Below are 10,595 nucleotides of genomic sequence, written 5' to 3'. Positions count from 1 at the left end.
AGGTGGCTTTATTAGCTGTCATTGATAACCCATCACAAAGGGTGGGGCGGGAGCAGTGGGGCTTTCCTGTCTCTCAGTACCACTGAACAGCAGCAGAAAAAGTTACACTTACCTACCAGCCACGTCCACTTGGAGTGCAGTGATTCTCCTCCATGGGAATTCGCTATTTGCCCCTTGGACCTGTGACTGGGAAGGGACAAGGAGGTAGGTCCCTTGAACAGCCAGCAGCTTAGGAGAAAAACAGGCCCTGACCTTTCCCACAGATAGCTCCCCAGACCTGGTTCGCGTGGTTCTCTAGCCTGATCCTGGAGCCTCTCATACTGACCGTGGCACCTGGCCCAGGGCTGCTCCTCATCATGGCTGAGAAAACAAAGGCAGAAAGCCAGTCAGTAGGGAGGACTGTGGAGACAGCCACAAGGCAGGAGCTGGGTGAGGCACAAATCCAGCCCCCAAAGCCTTGGGCCAGCTCCTCAGCCTCTTGGGAGACAGCTGGTCCTGTGCTCACTCCCCTTCACTGACACCTGCTCTGCCTCTGACGCCATCTAAACAAAGGAGACATCCCCACGCAGCACCAATAAACAAGCCCCTGGAAGTTGCCACACACTGTGGCAAGAGTCCAGAGCCTGGGCTGGGCACATGCCCTCTGCCCATCTGTACATTCAAATCCTACTGGGCCCTCACAGCACAGCCCTCACACTGCCGGCTCCATGGTACTTCCCCCAACCCAACTAAACCTGTGCTGCCCCTGTGCGTGGCATATTCATCCCTGTGACCTTCTCTGTGCCAGGGTGGCTGATAAGCCAGAACAGTCCTGACTGTGGAGTCAGGGGTCTGGCCATCCCCATCCCACCATCACAGGCCTTACTCCTGGGAAAGACGCCACAAACACCTGCTGCACACACAGAAGGGTCAGGCCTTGCCATTGGAGGTGATTGGATTAACAATTTTATTCTGCATCCACTACAAAAGGGCTGGTGTTTTGTTCCAAATGTTTAGCTGGGAGGGCTGTAGGGACCCCTGTTACCCCCATTAAACACAGTAAAGCATGGATCCAGTCAGCCCCCTGCTGGCAGGTGTGGGCCTGGCAACTACACAGATCCAACCCCACCCTCCTGGGTGCGGCCAGAGGCCAAGGCAGTCGCCCGAGCTCCTGAATCCCAAGAATGGTTCTGGCAAGTACTGCTGTTTGTTTGTAGGGGCAAAGAGTTAAAATAAAACGAGGTTCTGCCATGGCTAAGCCTTGTGGAAACCAGACCCCAAAGCCCCTGCCATGCCAGGGGTCTCAACGCCAGACGCTTGTTATGGAGGCACCAGCAGGTAGTGGCCCCTGTAAGCAGGGCCAGAGTCGGGACAAAGAGCAGGAGTGAAGCAGCCAAGAGACAGAGGACCAGGCTGGAGCCAGTGGGCACGCAGGAGCCTGCCTGGGAAAAGCCGGGGGGCAAGGCTGGCATGGGAATGAACACCTGCTGGTGACACCTCTCTGAGCTTCAGTTCCCTTAACTAGAAAAATAGAACAGGCCCGGTGCGGTGGCTCATACCTGTAATCCCAGCACTTTGGGAGGCTGAGGCGGGTGGATCATGAGGTCAGGAGATCAAGACCACCCTGGCCGACATGGCGAAACCCTGTCTCTACTAAAATACAAAAAGTTAGCTGGGCGTGGTGGCGTGCACCTGTAGTCCCAGCTACTCAGAAGGCTGAGGCAGAGAATCACTTGAAACTGGCAGGCGGAGGTTGCAGTGAGCAGAGATCACACCACTGCACTCCAGCCTGGCAACACAGCGAGACTCCGTCTCAAAAAAGAAAAAGAAAAACAGAACAAACATCGACCTCAGGGGCGGCTGCTGGGAATGTCAACAGGAGCGTGTGAGACTCCTGGCAGTCCCAGCCAGAGCTTTCCTTTGGAGCCTGCCCAGGGCACAGAGGTGGCAGGGTGGCTAACGGTGTGCAGACCGCTCACTGAGCAAGCCTTTCCCTTGTGTAGGACACCCCAGGGCCTCACATTCTCTGAATCCACACAAGGTGATGGATGGCTTTGCCTCTTGTAAATGAGAAAACTGAGGTTCAGAGAAGGTTTGTAAGCTTGTCCCGTGTCACCAGCTGGTGAGGGAGCCTGAACACGGAAGCCATGCCTGCCTGACTGGGAAAGCTGGGCTCCTCACAGCACTGCCCTGCTCCCAGCTGTCGCCAGGGGCCCCAGGGCAGGCAGAGCAACTGCGTTCCCGTGGCAGCACCTCCACCTGGAGGGGCTGGGCAGGGAGCACCACACTGTCAACTTGGAACAAACTTTTATTTTGAATGCTGGTCTGATCAGTCCACGGCCAGGGGTAGGTGGTAACTAGAAACAGCTGGAAGGAGGGAAGGAGAGGGGACCAGCAGTCCGCAAGCAGGAGGAAAGGAAAGGGTTGGGGACAGGAGGAGGCAAGGCTGAGGAAGGACCCAGCCAGCTGGGTGTCTGCCCCGGCTAGAGAACGAACCACCCCCACCCACCAGCCTACCCTCCATCTGTGGCTTCAGTGCAGAAGTCAGTCCAGGTGGGTTCAGGCCCATGCCACCTTCTCTGGCCTGCACAGTCCCACCCCAGGCAGGGGTTCTTCCAGAAGGCTAAATGCTCTGTCCTAACCCTGGAAGTGTCCTTTCACTAACCCCTGCCTGCCCGCCCCACGCTCCAGTTGGGTCTTTCAAACCTGGAGCTCAGGCCTTCACTACTGTGCTCCTGTAGCAGCCACAGGGGTGGCGTGGTGGGGAAGATGGGGTTCTAGTCTCAGCCTGGCTCAGGGAAGATGGGGTTCTAGTCTCAGCCTGGCTCAGGGGAACATCCCTCCACCCCTCCAACAGGAGGTGCTACAAAACATGATCCTGAGCAGACCCAGACCCCCTTCTGGTAACCAGTGCCTGAGGCCCAACAAGAAGCGGGGTGATGGGAGGCTCCAGGCCGGGCAGATCAGCGAAAGCTGAGGGCAGCCAGGGCCGGCCCAGGCAAACGCAGGATTGTCTCCAAGGGGAAACCCACCAGCTGTCTTTGGGTTGGTGGCAAGGGTCAGGGTCAGGGCCCGAGATGGGGAGAGTCCTATAATCCCATCGCCATTCCCCTCCACATGTCTCCAGGTTACAACCAGAGAGCTTTTGGCATGACCTGAATCTGTGGGCTTAAAGGGAAAAAGGAGGAGAGAGAGAAAAGGGAAGCCACTACTTTCTCCCTGTTAAAATGCCCAAGTCCTAGACTGGGGGTTCCTGCTCTGGCAGCAGCAGACACCAAATCCCAGAAGCCCCTCCACCCGGTCTGGCTCCATGGAAGGTGCCCCTGAGTGCCAAGAGGAGCAGCAAGATAGGGAGGGCGGCTCCTTCCCCTCCTGACATCCCCTGACCGCCCCGAGGATTCTCAGAGACAGATACGCAGGCAGACAGCCATGGAGGAGAAAAGAGAGGTTGACAGGGCCCTGGGGGTGGCACTCCTGCACCACACACACACACACACACACACACACACACACACACACAATAGAGAGAGACAGAGACATATAATAAACAGAATAAAAACTAAGGGCCCAGATGTACAAAAAATGTGTGAGTGAGGAAGAAGGTGGGGAGGACAGTGAGAGATGGTCAGTCCTCCGGAAGTCTGGCTACCTTCGTCAGCTTATAAATTACAACCCCCCTGGAAAATGGGGGTGGGGGCAATGCGGAGGCTCCGGCTGTGGCCTGAGCGGGAGGGCTGGGTGGCGGTCATAGCTGCTCTGCCCATCTGGTGGAGTGGTGGCCAGAGATGATGACCCCTTGGGTGGTGAGGGTGGGCCAGGGGAAGGTTCAGCAGCCGCTGGCAGGAGTCACACAGGCCCCCTGGGACTTCACCTTGTGGCGCTGGCCCCCTCGTCGCCGGCCTCCACTGCTGGGCTTAGGCTGAAAGAGAGAGAAGGAGCTTGAGAAGCACTGGCCCATCAGGAGCAGGGCCAGAGAGCAGAGGTGCTGAGCAGCGGGGAGACAGGGACGGAAGATGCGTGAGCAGGCTGCGTGGTCCTCACCCTAGCCTGACCAGGAATTTACTGGGTCACTCTGCATGCAGCACCTCCCCTCTGTCTCTAAAATGGAGCCAGTGCCTGCCCTGCCTTCCTTACAGGGTGGGTAGGACACACATGATGAGGGTGTGAGAAGCGGCCGTTCAGAGAAGCACAAAGCAGAGCAGGAGAGAGAGAAAGGAAGCGAACGAACCAGAGGAAAGACCCATGGGAGACAGATAACAGAATGGACAGACAGATCCAGGCATAGCCTCCTTTTCCAATGAGGGGACAATGGAGAAAGATGCTGGGGAGAGGGGTGCAAGGGGCACCAGGCCTTCATCACGCCAGGAGAGAGTGCCTGTGGGAGACAGCTGGCAGGAGATGCCGAGTAAGAGGCGCACTGGCACATCCCAAAGCCACCTCCCCTTCAGGATGTGTGCACGTCAGGGAGGGGACAGAGGAGGACCCTCTAAGGCAGTGTCTCTCAAACCTGCTGGACTGCAGTGCACACATATATCACTTGGACACTCACACCAGCAATACTTGCAATACTTAATCTTACTATGAAAGGGAAGCTTCGACATTTTTCTGTTCTATTTTATTTCATTAAAACCAAATGCTAGTTAGGGCCAATTAAACTGGTTTCAGGTGGGCTGTATTCCCTGATTTGGAAGCACTGCCTTATAGCTTCTAGAGACAAATGCCTCATTCTTAGGAGCACTTCAGTGCCAGAGCTGTGGAGGAGACCCTCTAGCCAGGTTTGAGGCTTGCCTACATGTCACCCTCACCGAATCAGAGTAAAAGCCACAGCCCCCACCACCATGCCGAAGCTGCGAGGGGCCCGTGCTCACCTGAGGCTGGAGATTGCTGGACGCAGCTGGTTGCCCTGCCCCTACAGAGGAGGCTTCATCTCCAGGTGGGGGTGCTCCTACTGCTGGCCCACCAGACGGGCCCCCCTCGTCTCGTTTCGTCAGGGGGCCCTTTTTCGTCGACTGCATTTTAATCTGCTGCGGCTTGGAGTTCATTGGGGAGTTGTTGGTGGTCTGGAGGAGCTGTGGGAGCCATGGAGAGAGGCTGAGGCTGGAGCTGCGGGGCAGTGGCACTGGCTTGGCTACCCCCCACCCTCAGCCCCCTTCTCCCACAGACTCCTCATTCCTTGATCTTGCCAGTTCAGGGCAAGGCAGATGGCAGGAAGGCTGTGACAGGAGGCAGTGGGGATGAAGAGGCATTCTCATCCCCACTCAGTGGCTGAGGACTGCTATGGCCCTGGACTCATGCCTCACTTCCTGCCTCTGCCCAGCCCAGAAAGGCTCCATCCTGTTCTCTGCTGCAGCTACTATTCCTGCAGAGAAATTGGTGAACCTTGCTCCCACCTCCCGCTCAGTCCAGCCCCCAGAGCCCAGAGCCTGCACAGAGCCTGGCAAGTGGAGCTCCGGGATCTCCTGATTGCTAAGCTGGTGGAGACTCCTCAGAGCATGCTGCAGCTCCAGCCCCAGCACGCTGCTGCTGCCCCCGTAACAAGTCTAGGGCAAGTGTTAACTCAGGGCCTCCCGAAGAGACCAAGTGAATGTCTCCTCAGCTGGAAACATCTGGAGTTTGGCCAGAAGTAACTGACTTGAAATCTTCCCTTGTGGCCCAAGTTCTATCTCATACAAAGCACAAAAGAAGCCCAGTGAGTCCCAGAGGACATTACAGTGTTTGCTGCAGCCTTGGCCAAACTCAGCAGTCCCAGGAGCATGCAGGCCTTCAAGGACATCTGTAGCCCCAGGGTGACCATGGATGGGGGCCTTTTCTGGAGGCAAGGCCAGCCAAAGACTGATTCCAAGATCTCAGATAGGCTGGGGCCAGTACCTCCTTTGTACGGAGCAGGGGTCAAACCCCTCTATCAAATGCCCCTCCAAGACCAGGGGCAAGGTCTGCAGTGGGCAAGTGTCCAGGATACACCAACAGCTTAAGCCCCAAGAGAACTCACGCCCATAACCCCCTGCACTTACTCCAACCAGACCTCTGCTCTGAGAGGAGACCTTAGACATGGTCCCAGTGAGGCCATAGGAACCTGTGACAGCACCCTGGAGGCTGAGCCTGGCTGGGCCCAGACATTCTGTCACCAGTTTTCTATGGAGGAAGATCATACCCTAACCCTACCTTCTCCTCTCCATGGTCACCACCACTGCCCAGGACAGGAGGCCACAGGATACCTCTAAGGGAGTAGAGAGATGGCACCGAGGCCACACCTCAGTGGGTCCAGCTCTCCCATGGCAGTGACTAAACCTCTGCCCTGCACTCAGGGTCACAGAACAGGAGTGGCCCCTGGTGCTTCCTGGAGGCAGGCAAGGTCTGTCCTGGCCATACCTTGGTGATGGTGCCGACAGCCTTGGTGCGGCCTTCCCGGAACACCAGCCGCTGGTCTATGTGCAGGTACTCAGGGGTCTTGATGAAGCGGAAGTGTACAGTGGCCTTGTCCCCAGTGCGCAGACAGTCCTTGTCCATGCTCAGAATGGTGGCTGTCTGCCTGATGCTCCCACAGTGCACTGTCAAGGAAGCCAGAGGTCAGGATAGGCTGGAGCCACCTGGTGGCTTCAGGACAACGGGAGGCAGTGAGTGAAAGCATGAAATACGCTTAAGCTGTGGAAGGGTGGGGGCTTATCTCTGGGGCTACAGACCCCCGTGAAGCCTGTTCTTGGCTCTGATCCTGCCTTACCATCTCCCACCTTTTCCTCCAGCTAATGCCCACCCGTCATCCCCCACCCCCAGGCCCTGGGCAGACAAGGGTCCCAGTTCCTGGGATTACAGCACACTGCACATGCACCTCCTCGCTGGACTGTGGGCTTCTGCGGGGAAGGATCCTTGCCCATCTACTTCATCTTTGTTCCCAGCACCTTAGCAACACCGCTGGGCACATAGCAGCGTTCAGCAGACCTTGCTGAAGGATTGCATGTGAGGTCCCTGAGGACAGGTCTGGGTCTCAAGAGCCCAGCCCTCAGTGTTTGTGGGAAGGAATCAACACTGCGGCTCATGGGTAGAACAGAAGGAACGGCATCACTAAACAGGAAGGAGGCCTACCACCCAGCTGCAGCTGGAACTAGGGGGCCTGGGTTGCTGGAACACCTTCTGAGGGGAGCTAACACGACGGCCTCCTGGGCTGGCAGGGCCTTAGACACCTACCCATGGCCTGGTAGCGCGGGCTAATTGTGGTGGGGTGGTGGAGGACGAGAATCTCGGCCTCAAACTCCCAGGAGGCTTGGGGATTCAAACGTGGGGAAACCATCACCATGCCCTTCCGGATGGACGAGCGCTTGATCTGAAAGAAAGAGGGAGCCCCAGCCCTCAGGGACAATTATGCCTTCTGGTTTCACCCCTGGTCCCAGGGACCAAGAGTCTTTCTAGGGATAGGGACCACCCCAACTCTGCCTGGTTTCCTCACCAACTGGACCACAGGCCTTCTAGGGTGGACAGCACGAGCACCCTCAGTGCTCCATGGGAAGACTCAACACTACTACTGGGGGTCAGGAAGGCTTCATGCGGGAATCAGCACTTCAGCTGCTCGGCCATGAAGGACGCATGAGGAAGCAAAGGCAGGCAAGCATTCAGGGGGAACAACAGGTGGGCATGACCTGACCACTGTGGGGAAGAAAGTCCTACTATTCCTGGTTAATTTAGTTGGTGGGTAAAGGTAGGTGACCCCTGAACTACAACCCACCCCAAACCCCAGGAGATAGAAGGCTGAATGGGAAGAGGATGTGGCGCAGATCCCAATGGTCCTATGTAGAAGGATCCTTGCACAGCAGGGATACTCCTATTTGACCTCACCACTGAGCTCAGGCCACCCTGCTCAGGCACCAGAGGGAGGAACGGAGCTTAGAAGGAGGCATTCCTCGCTCTAGCACTTACAAGCTGTGTGTCTTGGGCAAGTCCCTGGGCTCTGAGCCTCAGTTTCCTCATCTGTAAAAATGAAGCCAGTAATCCCGACCTTGCAGAGCAGCCATGAGGACTAGAGTGGGTGAGCAGGGCATCTGGCCAAGAGCCTAGCATGATGGAGTCTGAGGGGAGCGTTCAGTATCATCGCTACTCACCTTCTTCAGCGCAAAGGATGCTGTCTGGCCACCCCGCACCTCCTTGACAGGCATGCGCTTGCGATGGATGGATTTGACAGCAATGGACAGGAAGTTACCCAAGGGGTCTGGGCCCAGCAGCAGCGTGTCATTCAGCTTGATCAGGCCTCTCAGTGTTGTCCCCGAAACCACTGTCCCCACACCCTGCCAAGGAGAAGACCCTGGCCTCATAAGTGCATCCCCAGCACAGACCCACCCCCTGATGCCACTGTAGGAAGTGCCCACCCAGCTACCCGCCCAGAGCCACTTACCGGGACGGAGTAGGTGTCATCAATCTGAAACTCAGCAGGCTCCTCCTCCCTGTAGCTGGTGCGGGGGGAGAGGAGGTTGAGGAACATCTTCAGCAGATCTAGGTTCTCGCCTGTAACGTTGGAGATCTGGAATATCGGGCACATCCTAAGCAGAGGGAGAAGAGGAAGGAAAAAAGGAGAGAGGCACTCAGGAGACCAGGTCCTGCCCTGACACAGACCAGGGGCAGCAACAGGGCTCGAGGAGCAGATGCCACTATTCATGACTCCACCTCTCCCTCACCTGCCTCCAAGGGCTTGACCTCTTTGCCCTGACCTAGCAAGCTCCTGGCCAGCCCTACTCTGAGGCCTTCTTCTCTCACTCAGTTCTGTCTCTGACACCTGTCCTCTCCTCTCTGTCCTCCACCACTGCCCTAGTTTGGAACCTCATGACTGCTTCTTCCTAAAACACACGCATGCTTGCTTAAAATCCTTAACCGCCTTTCCACCACAGAGAAGATACCCCAAATCCCTCTCCCAACACTCACAGCCCTTTGGCTTGGGCTTGTAGCCATCTCTGCAGATTCACTTCTCGCAAATTCCTATATTCCAGCCACACCAGAGAACTCTCCCTTCTCCTAAAACTTTGGAACTTTTCTGCCCTTGTGGATTTGCTCACTCTGACCTTCCTTCCTGAATTCTTTCCCTTTTATGCAACTACCAGGCCCTCTCACCCTTCAGAGCTCATCTCAAATACCACTTCTTCCATGAAATCCTTCCTGGGTGGACACTCTTGACTCCTCTGAGTTCCTGGAGAGCTTTTTCTCTATTACACATGACTGCATCTGATTTTTCATCAGAGTCCTGTAAATGGCCTCTATTGCTCCTATTCAGGGTGACTGAATTAAAATCCTTGAGATCACGAATTACACATTCCCCACAGCTCCTAGAATAGTGCCTGCACAGAATAGGCACTCAAGAATATCAACAAGCTCAAATGGGGCTGTCTGAAATGTGCCCCCTCTGCAGGCTAACTGATGGTACTGAAGATCACATCAGGGCAGAGGCATAGGCAAAAAGCCAGGCTGCTCTGGGCCTGGCGCTATAGACCAAGCTCTGGGCAAACAGGCAGAGTTAGTAGAGTTCACCATTATCGAGAGAGCATCTCTCACCAAGGAGCTGAACACCTTGAGGACAAGGATTGTGTTCAATTCAACTCTGAATCCTCAACATCTAGATGAAGAGTCTCGCAGAACAAACATCCAATAAATATTTATGGAATGAAAGAATACATTAATGAGTAAATGCCAAAACTGATCTGATTAGTGAGCTTTTGAGGAACAACAGTATAAAAAACTGAGTTACAAAAATGGCTGTGTATTTACCATCCATCAGCCAGGCAGGGCATTAAGTGCTCTACATACTTCATTTCCAACATTCACGGGAGCCCTACAGGGAAGGGAATGTTATTCCCATTTCACAGATAAGGACACTGAAGTCTCAGCCGGGATGCCAACCCCAGGAATGCCAGCACCTCACAATCTGGGTTACGTGATATTACCCCTGGGCAACAATGCTGGCTTGGGAGACCCTGCGCTAAGATTGGAAGCTTCTATTTCCTCCGATCTCTGAATAGGGAGAGGTGTTGATGTGGTGTTTTCATGAGACCTTATGCCCAAACTGACAGCCATTCCAGGCCCATCACTCACTGTGGTCCTGCCTGCAAGGGTGCCTGTCTGAAGTGTGCGCTCCCCACGCGTTACCTTTCAGAGCTGAAGTTGGAGGCTGTGACAATCACATCATCTTTGCTCTGCACCAGCACGGGGATCTTCCGGCAGCCTGGTGACTTCAGCAGGCGCTGTAACAGCTTCAGGGTTTCTTAAAGGGTGCAATGGAACAGAATTAGGGGGACACAGCCTTCTCTTTGGCCAGGCTTTAAGAGCAAGATGGGTCCACTCATTACTGATGCAAGCAGGAGACAGACAGATAGATGGACCAGTGTTAAATGCCACAATGCCTGGAGAAGCAAAAAGGAGGATCAAAACTTTGGGTGCTGCTAGAGTAAGAAAAGCACAGATGGGGCCTCTTTTCTAGGGTTCTGCGTCTGAAACCTGGCAGATTTCTCTTGTGTCTAGACGACCTGCCTCCTGTAAGCATGTGACTTGAGGGTCCCCAAGAAAAACAATTCACTTCACACTTCAGTTCTCAGAATGCACTACTTCCTGGAAAAAAATCTCATCCAACAAAAAGGATCTCTTAG

At 55.2% G+C, this 10,595-nt stretch overlaps 1 protein-coding gene across 9 annotated transcripts in view, besides 1 other annotated feature; it reads right to left on the bottom strand.

Annotated features, from left to right (window-relative positions):
* The window catches only part of GTPBP1 (GTP binding protein 1), a 37,172-nt gene that overhangs the window by 8,606 nt on the left and 17,971 nt on the right, over positions 1-10,595 (bottom strand). For 4 of the 9 annotated variants that reach the window (XM_011530537.3, XM_047441614.1, XM_017029100.3 and 1 more), the window contains exons 6-13: positions 10,099-10,213; positions 8,360-8,504; positions 8,070-8,252; positions 7,162-7,297; positions 6,349-6,527; positions 4,848-5,048; positions 3,851-3,898; positions 113-186 (exon numbers count right to left, since the gene is read on the bottom strand). In XM_011530537.3, the coding sequence (XP_011528839.1) occupies positions 113-186; positions 3,851-3,898; positions 4,848-5,048; positions 6,349-6,527; positions 7,162-7,297; positions 8,070-8,252; positions 8,360-8,504; positions 10,099-10,213 (1,081 nt within the window). Of the gene's footprint in view, positions 1-106; positions 361-922; positions 3,899-4,847; positions 5,049-6,348; positions 6,528-7,161; positions 7,298-8,069; positions 8,253-8,359; positions 8,505-10,098; positions 10,214-10,595 lie in introns of those variants that run through there. The other 5 variants (XM_047441615.1, XM_047441616.1, XR_937967.3 and 2 more) reach the window with 4 other exon arrangements.
* Positions 2,314-2,363: an enhancer, noted in NCBI's record as "active region_19017". NCBI's record gives its function as "activates an Ori minimal core promoter by ATAC-STARR-seq in GM12878 lymphoblastoid cells {active_cell/tissue: GM12878}" and the evidence as "EXISTENCE:reporter gene assay evidence [ECO:0000049][PMID:35858748]".

The sequence above is a fragment of the Homo sapiens genome, chromosome 22 (genome assembly GCF_000001405.40).
Source record: "Homo sapiens chromosome 22, GRCh38.p14 Primary Assembly".
Classification (NCBI taxonomy): Eukaryota; Metazoa; Chordata; class Mammalia; order Primates; family Hominidae; genus Homo; species Homo sapiens.
The sequence above is the reverse complement of the archived record's forward strand: the minus strand, read 5'-3'. Positions and strand labels throughout refer to the sequence as shown.